At 48.4% G+C, this 22,079-nt stretch overlaps 1 long non-coding RNA gene across 6 annotated transcripts in view, besides 1 other annotated feature; it reads left to right on the forward strand.

Moving 5' to 3' along the window:
* The first annotated feature begins 7,836 nt into the window (after nt 1-7,836).
* The window catches only part of LINC02794 (long intergenic non-protein coding RNA 2794), a 131,616-nt gene continuing 117,373 nt past the window's right edge, over nt 7,837-22,079 (forward strand). For 5 of the 6 annotated variants that reach the window (XR_007066068.1, XR_007066073.1, XR_007066070.1 and 2 more), the window contains exons 1-4: nt 7,837-8,879; nt 11,612-11,813; nt 12,277-12,332; nt 13,136-13,262. This is a non-coding gene — a long non-coding RNA (long intergenic non-protein coding RNA 2794). The remainder of the gene's footprint in view (nt 8,880-11,611; nt 11,814-12,276; nt 12,333-13,135; nt 13,263-22,079) is intronic. The other variant, XR_007066072.1, reaches the window with a different exon arrangement.
* Nucleotides 19,107-19,651: an enhancer, noted in NCBI's record as "OCT4-NANOG hESC enhancer chr1:48526713-48527257 (GRCh37/hg19 assembly coordinates)". NCBI's record gives its function as "activates a minimal SCP1, AML or CMV promoter by ChIP-STARR-seq in primed H9 embryonic stem cells {active_cell/tissue: H9 hESC(primed)}" and the evidence as "EXISTENCE:reporter gene assay evidence [ECO:0000049][PMID:30033119]".

Raw genomic sequence — 22,079 nt, forward strand, 5'->3', positions numbered from 1 at the left:
GCCAGTGATGTGGTGGGTGGAAGAGCCAGTAAATCCATCAGGCGGGGGAGGCAGGAAGACTTGGACCATCAGTTCATGAATCAGCCCAGCTCTGGGGCTCCTGTCAGTCGAACACAGCACAGCAGCATCTGGAGTTGGTGCTCCAGGGGCACTGTGGTAGGGAAGGAGAAGGCACCTCCAGGACCAGACAGACCTGGCTCAAATCCTGGCACCTCCACTCACCAGCTCCGTGATCTTGGGTAAGCAACTGGACTTCTCCAAGCCTCAGTATCCTCCTCTGTCAAATAGGGATAATAGAAACTGCCTTGCCTAACTCACAGGTTGTTGAAAGGATCAAATGAGAGAAAGGGTTTCCAAATTGCTACCAGTGGACATTACCGTTATTGCCAACCATGCAGTGGGCTCAACCCAGAATCCAGCTCAAACTCAGGTCTCTTGACTCCCAGAGTTTGGTTCTTGCCCTGTACCAGACCCTCATATTGATCTAGCCTAGGTTTTAGCCTGGTCTGGAAGCAGGGTGATAGACTTGATGACCTTGGGTTGACCCTTTCTGGGTCTGCCTGATTCAGCTGGAGAGGTTGTAATAAGAATTGAGCCCCGGTGTGTTGTGTAAAACTGATTAAACGGCTGGTCAGTAAATGTGACTGATGAAATTGTATCTCCCACTGAATCCCTGAACAGATAGATCCCTAGAGACTCAGTGTAAAGGGTGTGTCTTTCTTGCGGAGCAGTGGTGGGGGGTGACGGGGGAAGGGGTGGGTGTTAGGCATAAGGGAGGAGGCAAATATATACTCCAGCCCTCAAGGAACTTGCAAACTCTTTGGAGATGTGGGACACCTATTTAAGAGATGTTAGATAAAAATACAGGGAGTCCAAGATCTCTTGTCTGGTCTGTTCACAATAGTGCCCCCAGTGCCTCGTGCACATAGTCAGCATTCAATAAATATCTAGACACATGAAGGAATAAGGCAAGTGAATGGCACAATGTTTGTATGTTATCTGTATGCCCTTTGGGACTTTTATGCCCCTGGGAGATTTGGGTCAACCTTGGTGTGAAGCTCAGATTGCTTGGTTATTCTGCAGGTGTTTGTCTTGCTTCTCTGTTCCTGCTCCTGGGGATCTGCAGCACCCTTTGTGCCACGTCAAACCATAGAATCAGACATAAAGCTTTGCCTTTCTCCTTTATCCACAAAAATTTGATTGCCCTGGGGATTTTGCCATGCTTTGTCACTCGACTGAAGATTTGAGGGTGTCATGGGGAGGGATCACAGGTTTTGCCAACTTTATAGACTGCCCAGTGGATATCTACCAGCTCCTTTCTCACTCCAACCTGTGGCTTTTCTTGCAGGGAGAACTACCAGTCTGCTTTCCTCAGTCTCAGAAAATTCCAAGGAATACAACATTCTCCATTTTTTCCCTTCCACATTAATCTTCCCAAGAGGGTTCTGGGCTCTTTGAATTCCCAGATGAGTTCACCGAGGGCAGTGAACCAGATTCAGACTCAGGATAGAGAAGCCCTTTCTAACACTGAGAATTATCCAGATTGCCTAGAGGTGCTGAGCTCCCTGTCAAAAAAGGTGTGCCAGCAGAGTGAGGTTGCAGAGGAGCCCCAGGTGTGCAGGTGAAGATTCTCAGGTACTTGTGGGTTGGAAAGTGTATGAAGCCAAGCAACAGGAGAGCTGGGTTTATGGCCCCAGCTGTCTTAGTAACACTCACTATGGGTCTGACTAAATTCCTACCTTTGTCTGTGCCTCACCATGTCCTACCTGTGTCTATGTCATCGTTTGTTTGCACAACAGTCTCCTGCACAGCAGGGGCTAGGCAGGTCTGAATGGGTGCTCACTTAGGATCAGTCACTGCAGCTCTAAGAGACTGTGATTTCCTGGTATCTCAAGAGTAGAAGGTGATTTTTTTTTTCTGCAACAGGAATTGGGTGTCAAGTTTGTGGGAAATTGAAAGTGAGTGACTGAATCTTCTTATCTTTCTGGCTCTAGGCCCAGCTGGGGCTCTGCCTGGCTCTAGCAGATGGGAAACGGTCCTTGGGTGAGGGGAGCTGGCCTCAGACCCTCCTCTTGTCTGTGGAGAAAATGAAGCAGGCTCTCAGCATCCTGCATGGAGTGGGCCCAGCTAGGTGGGGCTGAGCTTCCTGATCTGTGGAGGCAGAGGAAAGGAACGGCACGGACCAGTGTGGCTTCTGTGTTGGCAGCTTGTAGGGAGAGCATCTTCTGCATCTCTGTGCAGCCCAGGCTCAGGGAGGAAAGCAGTGCTGTTGGAATGGGACTGGAATATGGATGGAGCCTTCCTCTTACAATGCAGACTTCATAGGCTCTTAATATCCATCGTAACAAGGCCCAGTATGATCTGCTCCCTGCCCCCTATAGTGGATTTGTAGTGTGTCAAGTTAGCTAGGTTGCAACTGGGTTTTCCAGAGTTGCCTTCCCTGCATAGAGTCAGGTGTACAAGGGGCACAAGAGACATTTTGTGGGAGATTTGGAAGGACAAGAACAGCAGTAGTATTGACACTCAGAAGGGCAGTGCAGGGCCCCAAGCATTGGTGCAGTCACACCTGTTAGCATGGGAAAGCAGCTGGGCCTGCAGTTCCTCCACCTCCTGCGGTATTTTCCCTTGGCCTCTTCTCCTCCTGCCCTAAGGATGTGTTCAATTCCATGGTGAAAAGCTGCTTCTCGTGGAGTTTACCCTCACAGCCCAAGTTGGGAATTTGGAGTTAGTGAGACCTTCAGGATTCCATCTTCCCATCCATCTTTCCTCTAATTGTCTGCCCTTGTGACTTCAGGCCTCAGCATCAGATCCAAGAAAACAGCCTCAGATAGATGGTTAAACCACCCCCCACAGCTGCATCAGGTCAAATCCCTGGAATAAAGCCCTTATTATTCTGATCACCCCTAGCAGTTCTGCTTCTCTCATTAAAACTTGACCAGCACCTTGCCTCTCCAGGATCCTCTTGTGCTATTCTCCCTGGTGTTCCCTGCATGCCAGCTGCTCTGGCCTTCTTTTCTTTCTTTATTATTATTATTATTTTTTGAGATGGAGTCTTGCTCTGTCGCCCAGGCTGGAGTGCGGTGGCACAATCTCAGCTCACTGCAACCTCTGCCTGCCGGGTTCCAGCGATTCTCTTGCCTCAGCCTCCCAAGTAGCTGGGATTACAGGCACCCACTACGAGGCCTGGCTAATTTTTGTATTTTTAGTAGAGACGGGGTTTCAGGCTGGTCTTAAACTCCTGACCTCAAATTATCCTCCCACCTCGGCCTCCCAAAATGCTGGGATTACAGGCATGAGCCCACAGTGCCTGGCCTGCCCTGGCCTTCTGTTTGTTTTTTTTGTTTGTTTCCTTGAACATGTGAAGCTCCTTCTCACTGCAGAACCTTTGTATGCACGACTCCTTCTTGCTGAATGTGATCCTTCACACTCCTCTGCCGAGGAACTCCTGCTTATTCGGCAGATCATAGGTCTGTTTTCTTTCTTTTTTTTTTATTACTATACTTTAAGTTTTAGGGTACACGTGTACAATGTGCAGGTTTGTTACAAATGTATACATGTGCCATGTTGGTGTGCTGCACCCATTAACTCGTCATTTAACATTAGGTATATCTCCTAATGCTATCCCGCCCCCATACCCCCACCCCACAACAGTAGCCGGTGTGTGATGTTCCCCTTCCTGTGTCCATGTGTTCTCATTGTTCAATTCCCACCTATGAGTGAGAACATGTGGTGTTTGTTTTTTTGTCCTTACGATAGTTTGCTGAGAATGATGGTTTCCAGCTTCATCCATGTCCCTACAAAGGACATGAACTCATCATTTTTTATGGCTGCATAGGATTCCATGGTGTATATGTGCCACATTTTCTTAATCCAGTCTATCATTGTTGGACATTTGAGTTGGTTCCAAGTCTTTGCTGTTGTGAATAGTGCCGCAATAAACATACGTGTGCATGTGTCTTTATAGCAGCATGATTTATAATCCTTTGGGTATATACCCAGTAGTGGGATGGCTGGGTCAAATGGTATTTCTAGTTCTAGATCCCTGAGGAATCGCCACACCGACTTCCACAATGGTTGAACTAGTTTACAGTCCCACCAACAGTGTAAAAGTGTTCCTATTTCTCAACATCCTCTCCAGCACCTGTTGTTTCCTGACTTTTTAATGATCGCCATTCTAACTGGTGTGAGATGGTGCTAAATGTCTCTCTCTCTCTCTCTGATAGACCTTCGCAGGTTTGTGGTTTTTTCGTGTGTATGTGCATATAGGGTGTGGTCATGTGTATTATGTCGGCCTCCCCAGTAGACCACAATCTTCATGTAGTCGTGGGCCACAACTGACTACATTCACCTTATATAGCCTGGCCTAGGAGAGTGGTTGACACATGGTAGTTCTTTAGTGATGACTTATTTAATAATTGAATGAAAGATAGAAGAAGAAAACAAAGGAAAAAGAAAAGAAAAGAAGAGAGGAAGAGATAGGATAGAAGGAAGAAAGAAAGAAGGAAAGAGGTCCTATTTATCATCTAATTTCTAGCCGCTATTGCTTCCCCAGAGCACCTTCCAGGGCAGGCTGGGCAGCAGCCTCTCTGTGTCTCCATTATACATCCATTCTTACACTGAATTTTGAGTGTGTCTTGGTTCCTTTTCTCCTAACTAGACCGTAAGCTCTCTGGGGTAGGGACTGAGTCTGGCACAGGGCAGGAGTGCAATGAATGTGTGAACTTGTGGAAAGTCTGGGTATTTTAGCATGGCATTCCAAGTCGTTTACCATCAAGCTCTGGCTCACCCTCAGGCTCATCTCTTCCTGTCCCCAAACTCTTCCTTGTTCCCTGAACAAGCCACATTCCCTCCAAGGCTTTGTGTATGCAGTCACCTTGGATGGCCTCCCCACTTCTTCCTCTGGCCAACTTCAGGCTATTTTTCAAGGCCAGTTTTAGAGCATCTTCCCAGGGCTGGCCAGAGGGTGGGAATGCTGGCAGGATGGTGAAGGTGTACTTGGGCTGAAGTGCTGACTGATTTTTTTCCCCAAGGGGTTTCTTTCTCGCAAATGCTTCCCAGTGATTCAAAGGCTTTCCAGAAACAAGAGTGGTCACTGGACCTCAGAATAGAAGGGAGGCTCCAGTAAATGAACTGGACATTGTTTCCCTCTCCCTCCTGCTGGCATTTCCTCCACTCCACCCCCAGTTGCCCTGACACACACCTTCCTTCTATCTCCTCTCAACTCAGTGGCTTACCCCTTGCACAGGGCTTGGAGTTAATTTGGGATCACTAGTATCCCTGTCTGTGGTGTGGAGTTCTGGTCCTTATACTTCATTCATCCGTGTTCATTCGTTTTGAATGAATGGAGAATGGAACATTCTATTCCTGATCCTTCAGACAAAATGTCATTATGGTGATTCATGGACTCAGAATTCCAGAACGAATTCCTTGTGCTGGGCACTGGGAATACAAGATACTCAGTTTCTGACTTGGTGAACTCTCAGGCTGACTGGAAACAGAGACAACTATAGCCTGGGTTGATAGATGGGATCACATGGGTCTGTGGCACAAGGGGCGACAAGGGAGCCTTTTCAGAGGATGTGGCATCTAAACTTACACCTGAAGGATTATCTGACTGGCCAGACAAAGGAACAGCGAGTGTCCTAGGCAAAGGGGTGGGGTTCCAGACACAGAGCACAGCAAGGAAGGCCTGGAGGCAAAAAAGAAGGGCCCATTCCAGGTACTGGAGGACTGCAGTGCAAACTGAGATGGAGGAGGATGAGGGTCCCCTCCTGGTGAGGGTGTCCACTAGGAGATGAGGGTGGACACGTTGGCTGGGATCACACCAAAAAGAGACTTAGGGAATCAGGATAACAAATTTGAACTTTATTCCGAGGGCAATGGAGAGCCATGTTGGGTCTTGGTCTATCTAACTATAAAGCAAAAATAACAACCCTTGATTTTATTCTGCTGTGAAGGACAGCATTCTAGTGTATCCTCTGCTGCTAGCTCACTGTGCGACCTTGGACCTGTTCTTCTCTACCCTCATGTCAACCCTCCCCCACTTTCCAGCTCCAGGCCCCTTCAACTATTGAGTAAGGCATTTGGACCAGATGATTGTTAAGATCTTCTAGCTCTGAGATGCTCTAATTCTAGGATATTCTGTATGATTAATTAATTAATTAAATAACATTTACAAATTTTGTGCCAGGCATTTTAGAAGACCATGATCCCAGTCTGCTGGAGAGGCAGATACACAAATCCATACCCATAACACAAAGCAGAATGAGCTCAGAACTGTCGGAGCACAGTGGAGCAAGTGATTCATTCTCCCTCAGGGATCTGGGGGCGGCTTCAGAGAGGAGGCAGCGGATGATCTGGGCCTTGAAGGATGCACTGGGGGACAAAGATAGGGCCTGCTTTGTTCAGGGAGAATGAGTCACTTGGGGGCTAGAGACAGGTAGCCAGATACTCATGGGGGGTCCTGAATGGCTGAGGGGTGTGCTCTGTCCTCAGTAGGGCACGGGGAAAATGTGGAGGACCTGGGAAAAGGAAGGTGGCTGGAGGAGGAGGGTGAGCTCGCTCACTCTATCTATGGGAGACTAGAGTGGAGTTTGTTTTATTGATTGAAGTCAAATTCATGTGGTGCATACAGGAAAGGGGTCATTTCAGAGCCCCATCTATAAGTCAGACTGTGAGGCAGGTACTGAATACTTGATCTTTCCTGTTTTAACCCTGACAACAACGCTCCAAAGCAGGAATGGGAATTCAGCTTTCGACAGGAGGAAACAGGCTCGATGGTGAAGTACTGTGTCCCAGGTTACACAGTCAGAAGGTGGCGGAGCTAGAAGTGCACCCCCATCCCCACCGCCCATGGGGTGCCCACCTCCAGAGCTGTGACCCTTTTACAGGCCGCTCTGGCTGCTTGGTACCCAGCCCTCCCTGGACCCTGAGGCAGATATTTTCCACTGGACCCAGCACCCGTGTCCAAGGGCTTGGTCCAAGACATTTCCCGCTGGCCTCTGGTGATGCTGGGGTGTGGAGAGGAGTGAGTGCTCGAGGGGAGAGGAAGTGCCTTCCATCTCTCCTGTCATGGGACACCCTCCAAGAATGGGCACCAGGCTCCCCACTGCCCCGGGTGGGGATAAACTCTTGAACTCTCTGCAGAGATAAAAAGCACTATCTTCTCCCAGCCCTGAGTGTTAGCAGATGGGGCCGCTAGGGCCAACCTCCAGCTGCCTCCACCCACACTGTGAGGAAAAGCTGTCTGAGGAGGGCAGGAGGGGCTGGTCCCTCAGACTCTGCCTCCATCCGGAGCTGCGCGAGCACGGCCATTCAGCACAGCCCCTGCCCAGCAGGGAGGACCCAGAGGTGAGCGTGCAAGGATCTGAGATGAGTGTTCACATCCTAGTTCTGCTACTTTTCTGAAATGGGCAGAAGATGGGCAAATTACTTCTGTGAGCCTTAGCTTCTCATCAGTAAAAGGGAGCTGATAACTCCTTCTAGGTGCTAAATGATATTATTCTTATAAAAGTGCCTAAATGAGTGTCTGGTGCATAGCACGCCCTTTGCAAGCAGATCATCTTCACAGTGTTGGGATGCAGTGAAGTCAGACTGTCCAGGTCCAAGTGCATCTGCACCTCCAGCTGTGTGACTTTGGGGAAGTTCACTTCAACTTGGGGCCTTGGTCTCCTCTTCTATAAAATGAGCGTTGTTGAGAGGGTGATGATGAGTTCACATAAAGCATCTAGGATAGTGCCTGCCATGATGGCAAACACTATGGAAGAATCAATTATTTATTATCAGCATAAGTCTGTGGTCTACCTTCTGACTGCTGAAGCCCCAGTGTCTTTTGCTTTCTTTCTCTTCCCCTGGGCAAACTTTCTCTCTCACATTCACATCCTCTCTTATGTCTCCGGAGGAAGGATGCTCTGTGGCTCCCTTAGCAGCAAATGTGGAGGAATTTGAGGCTGATGGGGACACAGCCTTTCTGGCCCAGCTTAGTTGAGACCATGAAGGCTGCCTCCTACTCCCTCTGTCCCATGCTGGAGAATGGAACATTCTATTCCTGATCCTGCAGACAAAATGTCGTTATGGTGATTCATGGACTCAGAATTCCAGAAAGTCCAGGCTGAAAGGGGCCTCAGAGGGCATCCTCCCTACTCCATGGCCTTGCCCTTGTCTCTCCACCTCCCCGATAGAAGGCACTAGATCTCAATATAAGCCCCAGGGCAGCAAGACTGATCTAGCTTCCCCATTATTCCGCTTGGGAATAATGCCCAAGGACCACTAGGCCTGAGTCTCACAGCTCCAGGCCTGGAAAGGAGCCTACTTGTCCCGTCACAGATCACAACTGGGCGGGCCAGCTCTGAGCCTTTGCTATTTGAAGGGATGTTTTGATAACCTCTTACCGCTCCTCCCCAACCCTGCAAAGCCCCACCTGATCACCCCACACTCTGGGCCTCCTCTTATCTCCTTACTCTAAGCTCCCCATCCATTACTGTCGGCTGGCAACACAAGTTTTATCTGAGCCTCTGTGGAATGGAATTGATTTCTGTGAATAATTGGAATAGCTGGCTAGTGACCCAGTATTGCTGCCACCAGGGTAGTTGGAGCTTCAAAGCTCTCATCCAACTCTGCCTCTCTCTCTCCATTCCCGTGGCTGTTGTCTGGTCCAAACCATCCTGACCTTCTGCTTGGATCATGATTACAGCTTCCTAACTGCGCTGCCTCTTTCTGATTACCCTGCACCCCATCATCCACTCCAATCTGTCCTCTACATAGCGGCTAAATAGATCTTTAAAAGCTCAAACCTGCCTAGACAGTAACGCCTTTCTACCTTGGCCTGCCATTTAGGGGTCTTTCTGATGGAATTCCAGCTTAACTTTCCAGCCTTACAGGTAAAAATTCACCTTCGTGTTCCCTAAGCATCAGTCAAAGGAGGCCTTTGCCCAATCCACTCCCTCAGGTGTATTCATTCATTCTGCCAACCACTGTTGAGCACCTACCTTGTCCAGTGCCTCCATGGGGCACTAAGAATACAGACAGGGATTAGGTGTAGACCTTGTCCTTAGGCAACATGTGGATTTGTGGGAGATGCAGATTCAATTGCAGTGGTGTGAAAAGGGCTTTTAGAGAAGTCTAGGGTTAGAGGGATTGGGGAAGGGGCTGTGAGAGCCCTAACCCAGCCTGGGTTTGGTGGGGAAGGTTTTCTGGAGGAGAGAGCATACAGTGAGGCCTCAAAGGATGAGAAAACTGGCCAGACAGGCAAAGGAACCTTATCTATTAAACAGTACTGATCTCTTTAACCAGACCAATTCAAATGTTGCTTCTTCCAAGGATTCTTCCCAAATTGGCAAGACCTACATAGCCCTCCCTCCAGGCCTGGCTTCATGGGCATGCAGCTTGTGTCCTCACATAGGACCCTGCACTCGGTTTAATCCTCTGCTGTTGTTGTCTTGAAATTAGTAGTAATTTTTGAACAAGGGCCCCACATTTTCCTTTTTTCACTAGGCCCCTCCAATTTTGCAGCTGGCCCTGCCTCCCTTAGGTCTTGTCACTTTTGACCTTGTATTACATTTGTCCACTCAAATGCCATATCTTTTGCCTGGTGAACACCTGCAATTCCAGGTGGGTCTGACTCATCTCTGTCCTCAGGGTCCAGCACAGAGGCAGGCACCCAAGAGACATCTGTAATGATGTTGGTGAGTGAAATAAGACCCTGCTGAAACCCAGCCATTTAATCAAAGCTAGGGTAGCATCCCGTGGGAAGGGGTGTGGCCCAGCTTGCACATGCTCCAGGAATTCAGGGGGGAAGAGATGGCTTCAGCTGGAGACAGCAGGAAGTGGTCCCCAAAGGACCCTCCACTGCTCTCCTCTTGTCAAAAGGCCCTGTAAACAGCGCAAAGTCCTTTCCGATGTGTAGTTTCACTTCTTCTAGCTGTGCAGGTCCCCTTCCCATCTCATTAAGCCCCTCCCCAGGCCTCTGGGTGTAGTGGCAAGAAGCTGGGAGGTAGGATGACAGCATCTTAATTTCCCTGCTAATTACAAGTGCTGGGAAGAGGGGTGCTAAATGCCAGGTAATTACCCAGGAGGAGACACGCGCCAGACTCCTGGCTGCTCCCAGCCCCAGGAATTTTGCTTTAATGGTTTTTTTTTCTTCTTCCTTTATTAAAAAAAGAGATAAAAAGAGTTAAGACCCTGGCCTTCTCTCTCCTTAGGCTTAGGAGGTAAAAAAAAAAAAAGGAATCTTTCTCCTAAACTTTTTCCTACCCTCTCCTTATCAAGGACCTAGATTTAGATGCTAAGCACTGGGTTTGCAAAGAGAGTCTGAAGAGCAGCAACCTCATTTATGCTTGAGTTAGGCTGAGGGTGTGGAATGGGATTGGAGCTGGTGGGAAGGGGAGCCCCAGCCCTCTGCGCTGCTCTGCTCACTACCCCAGACATACAAGCACACACACACACACACACACACACACACACACACACCCCTCCACTTTTGAGAATGGGAAACTGAGCTGCTTGTATTGTTTAGGATTGCAGGGTATGAGGAGTCAGGGAGGGGTCCCCTCTGTCGGCTCTCACTCCCAAGGGCAGGGGGCAGAGGAGGGGGCAATGTCACCCAGTTGCTTGGCCTCAGTCCCACACCCTGATGCCTGCCAGCTTCAGGCACAGCTTGAAAGGCTCCCAACAGGAAGCTATTAAGTTGATGAGCATTCTTGTGGTCCTGGATTGATACAGCGACGCTCTGTTTTGTAAAGCTGTTGTAATTTCCATAATAACATTTTCCTCTTCTTAAATAAACTTGGACTCTAGCCCGAAGAATGTGGCTGGCTTTGCCTGGGGAATTCAGGACCTGAGACTATGGAAGGAACACCCCGTTAAGGTGGGAAGGGGAAGGGAGAGTCACAGCTCCTCCAGCCCAAGGGCTGGGACTGCAACAGGCCAGTGGAGTCCAGGTCTGGCAACAATCTCAGAGGGCTCCATAACTTTGCTCTGGGCCTGGCCAGGGCTCCTGGATATATTCCTTTTATAGCACAAGGAGGCAGCCTAGTACAGTGGTTAAGATTATAGACTCCAAGTTTTGGTTATAGGACCACTATGTACTACTTGTGTGATCTTAGGTAAGTTACTTAATTTCTCTGTGCCTCAGTTTCCTCACCTGAAAAGTGTGGATAATAATAGTATGTAACATACGCTGTGAAGATTAAATGAGGTAATATATGTACAGTAGCTCATGCAGGCATGTGCTTAACACATCTTTAAAATAAATGTTCAGAGATGACCATGTCTCAGATAATTTTACAGTTCTAAGTATCCCAGGTTCCAGAGTCAGGGAAAAATAAAGTCTTAGCATTTTTGACTCACCAAACTATGAAAGTCTTAAGATTATTTGAATCACTGAACTACGACAGTCTTAAGATTATGTAGTAATGGAATCAAATAATAACTTTCAATGTGGACTCTTAGGCTATGAAAGAGAATGATATTCACATCTTGAGGCCTTAAAGGTCAGACTAGCTAGCTGTCCAGGATCTGCTCTAAAATCTCCATGACTGACAGCCCATTACCTCCTAAGGCTGCCCCTGGGAAGTTATTGAATATGGAACCCAGTTTTGCCTCCTTTTGTCAGCCCCTGTTGGTCCTAGTTCTCTCTGGCCACCAGAACTCATCTGCTTCCTCCTCCCACGAGAAACTGGGGAGAGATGGAGACAGCACCCAAAGCCTGCTCTTCTTTAAGCTGTTTCCTCTCAACTGGGCTTTCCATCGTGCCATTGCTGGGCTACCTTGGCTTGGCCAAGCCCCATCTCCTATTGTCGCAGTGTGAATACCAGGTAAATATGCCTGTGGCAGGGCTTAGAGGGATTTCTGTCACCCTCCATATCTCTTAACCTGGTCCAGGACCAGGCTCTTCCTGGCAAGTTAGCTTCCCTGGAGCTCAACTCCTGGAGCCCATTTCAGCAAATAGTTCCAGGAGTGAGCATGCGTGTATATGCATGTGTATGTGTGTGAGCCTATGTACGTGTGCCTCTGAGTAGAAGATTGGAAAGGGATTTTTGAGGCTGAATCTCAGAATTTAAGACTATCAAGACTAGAGAGAAAAGGAAGGAAGTACAATGGCTGAAGTTCTCCCAGTGGAGACTGGCCCAGTCCTCATCATGAGGGCACCTGCTGAAGTGGTCAGATGGGCAGTAGGCTAGCAAGGCCTTTGTCTTATGTAGCCTCCAACGGGTCTGCAGAACGTCTACAATATCCCATTTTATTGTTTCATAATTTCCCCATATTATTTCCTTTCAGAAGAAGCAAACAGCCTGCAGATGGGACACTTATTCACCCCTGATGCAAGTGTGACTGTGAGTTGAAGGCATTTCTCCCAAATGTAGCTTGCTGGGCACCTGGTGAGCATTGGGAAGATATGAAAGGCTGTATGGGTGTGTCCTGCACAAAGGTGTCTGGTGAGGGGCAAGTTAGGGCTGAGATCCAGCCAGAGCTCTGCTCATAAGACACACTCCCCTGGCCTGGGGCAATGTCCAACCAGAGGAAGGGGCACTTTTTTCTAATGCAAACACTGGTGTCCCAAGGTCTAGCAGCACACAAAAGGAGGTGGGTGGAGTGGGTGATAAAATAAGGGAAAATGCAAGCCCAGGAATATAGGAGCTGGGAAGGGTGAAATTTATCTGGCCTTTTCCTGAAGGCTTGCATGCTTCAGGCCTCCCCAGGAAGACAGAGCACAGGACTGACCCAGACCCAGTGCCTTCGTGTAAGAGCTCTAGTCCAACACAGGAAACAGACACCCAACCAACCATGAGGAAAAGCTGTGGGAGCTGGGGGTCGAGGGGTGGTCTCCAGATGCTCCCCAGCTCCAGGCTGTGAAGGATCAACAGGAGGACATCGGGTAGGAGGGCTGGGGTGGGAGGCCTAGGCAGCATGGTGACACTGGAGGGTAGGGAGTGATTCTCAGCTCCCATGCAGGGCTCAGGGTGAGGAAGACCTTTAGCACCCACTTGATGCACGAGTAAGTGACTGAATGCGGGTACATGGGTGCCCGTGGGGGAACTGGAGAAAGGTGAAACTGGGGAGGTGGGCAAGGCCTGGATCTGCAGGGTCCCCTGGGCTGTATGTGAAGACGCTCAAATGTTTCTCTTATTGGTGACAGGGAGCTATTGAATGACTGATGAGATCCGTTGTAACAATCATTCTGGCAAAGGTGTGGAGATGGCTCAGAGGATTGAGCTGGGAGCAGGGTGGCCTCAGCCACATGTGCTACCATGGCTCTGAGCAGGGTGAGTAGGCCTGGGCAGAGTTTGGTGCAGAGCCCTCAGAAGGCTGAAGAAGGCAGGGCTGCATGGATGCAGAGGCACTGTGCGTGTTCCCCAAGCCTGGCTCTCACGGGTGTGGGGCTCCTTCTCCACCAGCAGCAGTATTTCCTGCCTGGACCCTGAGCCTGCCAGTCAGAAGCAGCATCTGGTATCTCTCCCAGGCTGGACATGAGCTTGGAATCCAGGGACCACCTGAGTCAAACCAGCAGCTCTGACCCCAATTTCAGGCAGGGGGTGATGTCACACCTCTTGGATTCTGTGGAGGAGGAGCTGGAGGCGATGGGGGCCACATAGAACAGAGAGCAGACAGTAGGGCAAGGCAGTGGGGGGCACTGGGGTCTGAAGAATAAGAAAGCCTGGGGCAAGAGGATGCTGTTTGAGCCCAGCTCTGCAAGGCGACTGTGTCCAGGTCACCACTCCCAATCCTGCCCATTGGGAGAACTCATAGAAGGAACATCAACCCAAGGAAGGGGTACAAGCACCTCCGCAGCCCCTTCGTTTTTCTGATGGGGATTCTGATGTCGAGGGTTTTCTAGCCTGCTTTGAAGAGGCATGTTTAGAAAAGGAGAGACTCTGACACCCGTAGAGGGCCGTGGGGTGGGGGTGTACTGTAATTGACTAGGGGGTACGCAGTGCGCACAGGAGGCTGGGGCTAAAGCCGAATGACTGTTCTTTCCTCCGTATTTCCTGTGGCCTGGCATTCAGGACCCTTTCTGTTGAGTCCTCTCCTGTTTCTGTGTCCGCTTCTCTACCTTAAGCTCCTCCTCCCCACACCCCCTGGATCCCAGCTCCTCCCTCTTCTCCAAACAACTCCCTCCCTCTTCTGCCTCCACCTGCTGCACATCCTGTGTCCCCGAGGCACCCTTTCCCACCTGCTCTCAGCTCAGGTGCCTCTGTCCTGGCTGGCCTCCCTTGCCCTGTTGCTGCCCTCTCTTCCTGCTTCAACTTCCAGCCTGAACCAGGTCTCACCCTTTTCTTGTAGAAAACCTTGTTTCACCTTGAATTGTCATTACTTGTGTCCGTGTGATTGGAGTCAGATGGGCTGGTTTGAAGCCCTGCTCTGAAGAGTGGTGGAAATTTGGGTGTGGTGCTTAACTTCCTCATGACTCCATTTTCTCATTTCTAAAACCAGATTCTTGAATATGGGCCTTGTAGACAGGGTGTCCATCTGTCCTGGCTTGCCTGAGACGTCCCAGTTTCTGCCTGTTGTCTCTGTGTAATTATTAATAGAGTGCCCTTTTACTCACAGAAGTGTCTTAGTTTGTATGATAAATTATACGTTCACTCTACTCATAAAGCTCTTACGAAGATCAAATTAGATGATACCATGAGATAATCCACGTAAAGTTTCTCAGCAGAGTGCCTGGCATAGAGTAAGTGCTCATTAAATCTTTGCTTTTGTTATTTCTCTCTCCAGCAGACTGAGCTTGTTGAGGGAGGGACTGTGTCTGATTCAGTTACAATTACCAGATGAGAATGGCCAATTATGAGAGAATTCAGAGTACAATCAAGTCCAATAAATGCCATAGTGATGCTGAGGACAACTTTGTCTCTCTTTCATGACTGAAAAGCATTACTGCAACTTTATTACCCACCTCCTCTTTGCACTGTGCTGTGGCCCAGGAGCACTGAGCAAGGGAGCCACATATCTTATGTACCTGCTGCGTACAAAGCGTTCTTCTTTCCGTCATTGAGTCCTCACATTCAGCCAGAGAGGCAGGTCTAGTGCTAAGGGACTATGGCCATTAAAGAGCAGTTCTGTTTTAGGATTATAAGAGATAGGACTGGGAGTGGTGAGAGGTGAACCTGGGGCGTTTGCAGGGAGCACATGGCTCAGGGCGTGTGAACCACAGGAAAGGAGCATGTCCTGTTCTTCGAGGGCAAAACCCATGGAAGGGTCTTAATCCAGGAGTGACATGGCATAGTCAGATCTGTATTTCAGAAAGATCTTTGGGCCAAGTGTAGGGGCTCACACCTGTAATTCCATAATTTTGAGAGATCGAGGCCAGGAGGATTGCTTGAGCCCAGTAGTTTTGAGACCAGCCTGGGTAACACCGTGAGACTCTGTCTCTACAAAAAATTTAAAAATCAGCCAGGTGTGATGGCTTGTGCCTGTAGTCTCAGCTACTCAGAAGGCGGGGGTGGGAGGATCACTTGAGCCCAGGAATTTGAGGTTTCAGTGAGCTATGCTTGTGCCACCACACCCCAGCCTGGGCAATACAGTGAGACCCCATCTCTAAAATAAATAAAGAAAGATCTGGTGTGGGATGAACTGGAGGGGTGTGAGGCCAGATGGGAGATGACCATCATAGTAATCTAAATGGGAGATAATAGGGGCAAATGAGCCAGAGAATTGTCTAAGATATTGGCTCTCATAGAGCTTAGCACCATGCCTGGCACACATGTGGTTATATTAATTAATAATATTCATTATGAAAACAATAGTAAGAAGAATACTTATGCCTATTTATTGAGTCTTATGATGTGTGATATAAAGTACTTTATCCACACTGTTTTGTTTAATCCTTGTAAACTATCCTATCAGGTAGATGCTTTACTATCCCTATTTTACAAATGAGGAAACTGAGGCCCAGAGAAGTTAGGTGCTATGCCAAAGGTCACACACAACTGGAGAGAAAGAAAACTTCAAGGCACAACTGTCCAACTCAGAGCTTATGCTCTAATTAAGCCACCACACCAGCGGCCTTGGAGGTATTTCTTGGGCAGTCCTGGGCACTGAGGAGAGACCCAGCAGGAGAAGCCTGTGTCAGGCTGGCCTTGGAGGAGAGAAGGAAGGGGTAAGTTTATTGTGTAATGGGGTGTCTGAGTGAGAAGAGCTCCTGTGGAATTTCCAGGGCAGTTTCTGTCCCTGGAAGTTTCCTCCCACTGATACAAGCCAAGGTAGACCTAGGGGAGGGAGAAACAGGCAGGAGAGGGATCCGGCAACCTCCCCCCACCCCAACAGGTTTTGGTTCCCTGGTGCTTCTAGGATCATCTGTCTTCTGGTACCAGCTCCTTGCAGAGGAGCCATCTTGTTTCCTCCAGAGACCACCATCTCTCTCCTAATTGGTGGAAAATTGGTTGCTAACTGTCAGGAAATTGCCGATTTTCCATCCATTACTGGGAGGACCAGGGCTGTGTAGCTGTGGGGGACTCTGGGTGGGAAGCAGACGTTGATTAGGCCTTGTAGTTAACGATTAGGTTTGTGGACCTCCTCAGGCAGTCCTCCCAGGCTGCTTATTAACTCCCTGTGAAGACCCATTGGGCAGGAGATATTGGTTAAATGGAACGCAGAGCCACAAAAGAGTTACTATTCATTAGGCCTTGGTTGTGGGGAGGGGGGAGACCGGGGAACAAACTGTGGCCTCAATCCAGGAATGTTAAACAGCCCCATAAGCTGGCAGAGAACTTTATAATTGCTGCTATTAAAATATATGTATTTATATAGGTGATTTGTTGGAGGAAAGAATTTCAGCATTCGGGTGAGATCCCTGCTATGATTTTACCGAGGATTAAGTTGTTAGGGACTAGATATTAATTAACGCTGAGGGCCCCAATCCTTTCCTAATTAGCTCATGGAGTATAATTTGCCTGCAAATGCTACTGTTACAATCACCTTGAATTTGTCTGGAGCTCTCCTCCAGTGCGTCAGGTGGGATTTACCCCATTACATGAGCAGAAGGGAGGGGAGGGGCCAGGAGGCCTGGGCTCCACTCCCAGCCCCTGCTCCTGATTCATGAGGAAAGGGTCTTTTTCTGGCTTGTCGCCTACAATGAAGAAGTACTTAAGGGAAGGGATGCGATATGTCTGAGTAGCCCTTCTCAGCTGGGACACTGAGACCCATGCTGTTGGTGAACAGTCAACGCAGGACTGAGGATGAAAATACCTTAATGCCCATGCTCTTCTGGGTTCTCCACAACCTGAGAGATCTAAAGGACTTGCCTAGGGGAAGTCAGAGAGTTCTTCTATGGGGCTTTAACTTCAATTGTCCACAGGGCTCCTTTCTGAACAGCAGGAAATGAGGGCTTTTGTCAGTTTCTGTGACAGGTAGAACCGTGCACCCAGCAGTTCTCACCTGCTAGTAAACCCCAGGTGGGCCCCTCTGTCCTCTGACCAGTCCATCCCTATTCCCTGAAAACCATGTGGCCATCAATACTGGTTCATGCTCTACCTGCTCTAGAAATTCTTCTCTTCTGCTCACCACCTTCTCTGCCTAGCAAACTCCTACCCATCCTTTAGCACCTGATTCAAATGTCCCTTCTTTATTAATCCTTTCCAGATTGTCCCAGGCAGGGCTAATTAGGCCCTTCCCTAACTCTGCTTTTCATGAATCCTCTGTTCAAGCCTTTAGCTAACCTTGCTCTGCAAGATGGCTGTTAATGCCTTGGTCTCGCCTATCAGACAATGAACTTCTTAAAGGCAGGGGCCTGACAGTGTCTAATCAACTTGAAATCTGCACAGCCCAGAGCAGAGTAGGTGTCGAAGTTGGTTGAGCTTAGTTTATGTTTGGCTTGTACAGTGTCTTCAGGAAAGGGCTCCTGGTCCTTTGTCCCTGGTATGAAGAGGAAAACAGACTTTGAGAATAGGTGGGGCCCTGGTCCTTGGTGTTCTCTGGGGCTGTGAGGTCTGGATGCTCTTCTCAGCCCTGGCATAGGTGGTTAAGAGGGAGTCTTATATCCCCACCTTACCCTGGGCTTCTGGGCCCGGGGAAGGGGCAGGTTGAGAAGTCAAAGCCTGTATCTTTCTCTCTTTCTTTCTGAGATCCCTAACACAGACCTGGGCATACAAATGGGGTTTGGCAGGAGGAAATGAGGCTGCATTGCACTGTATCAATTGGCCATGATGCAACCCACAAAAAAGACTGAGAACAGTTGTTCAAACACAGGCCTATAGGCCAGTGATCTTGCCTGTAGCAACCTGGGCTAGAGACTGGGGATCAAAAGCAAGGGAGGTGCTGCTGACTGTGAATATAAACAGGTTCAAGAAGGGCTTAAAGAAATTCCTAGATGACAGATCCCTAGCAGGTAACAGGTCATTAATAACCATGAAAGATGATGATGGTAATAATAATAATAATTAATAATAATAGCTTCAAGGGAGCTTTCATACTTTTAAAAGCTTTTTTCCTACCAGTGTCTCATTAGATACTCACCACTGCTTTGGGGAGGGTGTAGATGCGCAGAAAGGTGAAAGGACTTGCCTGAGGCCACACAGCTTGTTCAGGTTGTTCAGGGCAAAGCTGGCACTAGATTCAAGGGGCGTTCCTGACTCCTTCCCCAGGACTTTCTTTGAGGGTGGGGTAAACTATTGATAGGAGATATTGGGTGTGTCCTGAGCCTAGAGCCTCATTCCTGTCCTCCTCTTCCCATTTCAATGGCCCCAGTCCTGCATCATCATACGGTTCCCGTAAACCCTTCATTCTAAGGTGTTCACCGTGGACAGCAGAAATCAGCGTCCTAGCCCTGTCACTGATTTGTCATGTGACACTGAGCAACAGTCTTCTGCTCTCTTCAGTTTTCCCATTTGTGCAAGGTGATGGTTGGATATTCTGGGAAGTTAACCTTTCAGATCCACTGATTCCTCTTGGTAAAATGGGATGGTGGAAGTACCTGTCATGAGGTGTAATTGACACATGCATGTAACCAGCTTAGCAATATGCCTGGCACAGAGTGAGCACTCAACATATGTAAGTTTTGGGCAATATCTGAGAGAATAGACCCCAAGGTGAGACACTCCAGGTTGTTATAGAACAGGCTGGGGAGAGAATTGTGTCGTCTTCGGGTGGTTGGTCTGCTGTTCCCCTGCTCAAGGGTTTTCAAGCTGGGTTCTGTGGACCCTATGGGCTTCTGGGGAGTCTTCCTCAACTTTCATCTTTGCAATGGTCCCTTAAAACATTTTTGGTGATCTGTATTCTTACTAGAATCTGGAAGGGGCTATTCTGTAAGCGGAGTGAGGCTTTAGAAGTTTTGTGAGTTCACCAGATGCATCCCATCTTAACTGTGTGAGAACATTTGTTCTGAAGCTAGTTTATCTTATTCTATCCTCGCATTGTCCTGTAATTTGCTCTTGAGAGGAGCACTTGTTCTAAATGACAATCAAGGTCCCCCTTGGAGAGTGAAAGGGGCCAGTGCTGCCACCTACAGACAGAAAGGTGATTAGATTCATTTCATAAAGAGCCTGGTTAAAGAGCAGCAGAAAAAGCAAGGAGAGCTTTTGTCAACAGCCCCAAAAGTCTCCCTCACCTTATTACCCTACTATTTAAAAATCTATCATGTTTACCACTATTATCTTCAGACATCTTACATTAACAGAAATCACTGATTGCAAACCAGGATGCATATAGTGCCATTTCCATTTGGGGGGCCACCACTGGAGCCCTGAAATCACCATGGCACCTTGTATAAGAGATGAGATGATTCTGTATCCATTTATTGATTGGCTCAGTACATATTGTATCATTGCTTTAGTACTGGATCAAAATTGTGAAGGTCTTGTATCTTTGCAGAATTTGCAAAACTTTGGCTTAACAGATTCCATTGGGATGGGATAATCTAAATGTAAGTACCAAGAATTGACCAAATGGGGAATTCTTACTCTTGAGGTTTAGTGAGCTCACAGGAGTTTCCTCCAGAGTTTTCTTAGGCCAGTAGGCAGATGCAATCTGTCCAGTGTGGGGAGCCAGGAAGAGAGATCTGATCTCTGCAATTCAGGGCTCATGGTGAATTTGAGATTTACTGCCAACTTTCCTTGGCCACAGAGATTGTGAACAGGAAGTGAAACTTGGGCCAGACAGCCTGGGGGTGCAGAGCTAATATAGACTGAGGAAGGCAAACATGTATAGATCATTCGCAGGGCAACCCATGCTAAAGCATCACTACAAATCCACTTATCAAATGTTTTCTCCATTCATCAAAGGAAAAAACAGGAGCTCAGAGTGGGGAACTGCCCTGTGCAAGGCCCCCAGCAGATGGAGAATGGAGTCAGGACCAGAATCCAGGCCTTCTGACTCCTTACCATATGCTTTCCAGGGAGACTGGCCTCCTAACCCTTCATTCCCTGTAGACAACCTGACATTGCAGGTCCTTCTCCACTTCAGAGTTTATAGCTAGTTCTCTTGAAGACCCACCTGAAGTAGCAGTCATGGATACAGACACAGGACAAAGGTTCAGGAGCCCCCAGAGTTCTCTCAAACATTGTCTCTACTCAGATGCTCCTGATGCCTCCTGTTCACAGTAGGTGACCTCCTGGAATAGGGCCTGGCTCCCTACCCAAAACTCCCTTTCCTGGAGGGCTATGGAGATGAAGCTTAATCTTTAATGAACTGGCTTTCAGTTTAACGGCTCCCTTGGCAATGATTAATACCCAGTGACCTAGTCTGGCATCTAGTGAACCTGACCAGGCCTGACTCAGGAGAGTGTTGGTGGCCTTCAGGCCCAAGTGTGGGCTCATATGCAGGTGGAAGAGGCTTGACAAGTGCTGGAATGGCTTCCTACCTAAGAATATATTCTCTGTCCTGTGCCTGAAATTCTGTTATTTAGGTGGTCATTCCTCAGACGTAGGGTATCACAAATGTACCTGGCAAGAGGAGCTAGTCACATAAGTTGTGTTTCAAATACTCCTTGGGCTGTCGTTTGGCAGTTCTGGTGTCCAGCAGCTCAGAAGAATTACAGGATTCATGACTTTTAATCCCAGGTTAGCAAGCTGATGAAATATCACCGGATCTGCAGTGAAATTAGACTGTAAGCTTCTTGTGGGCAAAGACAAGGGTCTGGAGATGTATAGGGAGAGAACACAGATTTGGAGCTGGAAAGGCCTTGTTGCAAAGTCCAGCTCTGATAGTCACTAGCTGTGAGGACTTGGGCAAGCCTCCCTAAGCCTCAGCTTATTTGTCAACCAAATGGAGAAAATAATACCTCTCTCTAGACTCTTCAGAGAATGAAATGAGAAAGTATATGTAAAGTGTCTGATTATTACAGAGACACAGACTTAAGCCAGGCACAGATGCTGTTCCTTCCTTCATTTTCTCTCCTCTTAAGTTTGACTTAGCTGACCCTTTGTAGTGAGGAAGAGAAGATCTCTGGTTCATCTGGGGAGAAGAATTTTTCTTATGTACTTTGGGATTTTTACAAGGATGGCCTTTCTCTGTGAGACTGGACAGTTAGCCAGATGTCAAGGCTCCATCCTATCCTACCTGTTGAAGCATCTGGAACCATTGAGCAGGGCTGGGTCCATCGCCCTCAGTATCTCCTTGCCTCTTCTGATGATTATAAACATTGCAAACTGAGAAACTGCATTGGTCAGAGTCTGTCACAGTCTCCTGCCTCTGTTTTGCGTCTTGATACCAGCCCGCATTAACCATGGGTCTGGCAGCAACTCCCTCCCTCTGCTGCCTGATGGATGCTCTCACACGTTGGCACCTCTGGCATGGTGTGGAGATGTGGCATTTCAGTTCCCTGCCTAGGCTACTGCAGAGTTTGTATCCTTCATCTTGAGAGGCATGACCAGGAGGGACACCAAATGGAAAGGTGCTATTCTTCCCTCTATGCTCCAGTGCCAGGTGGCACTGTCCCTGACTGCCTGAACGTGCCATCCTCTTTCATGTTCCTGTGTCTTCCTCTTCCTCTTGCCTCTGCCTGGAATGCCTTTCCTAGAAGCTCTGTCTGGAGAGCAGCTCATCATTCAGCTCAGGAACATCTGATGGGCAAGGACAAGGGTCTGGATGGGAGAGATGTGTGGGAAAAGAACACAGATTTGGAGCTGGAAAGGCTTCAGTGCAAAGTC

This window comes from Homo sapiens, chromosome 1, assembly GCF_000001405.40.
Source record: "Homo sapiens chromosome 1, GRCh38.p14 Primary Assembly".
NCBI lineage: Eukaryota > Metazoa > Chordata > Mammalia > Primates > Hominidae > Homo > Homo sapiens.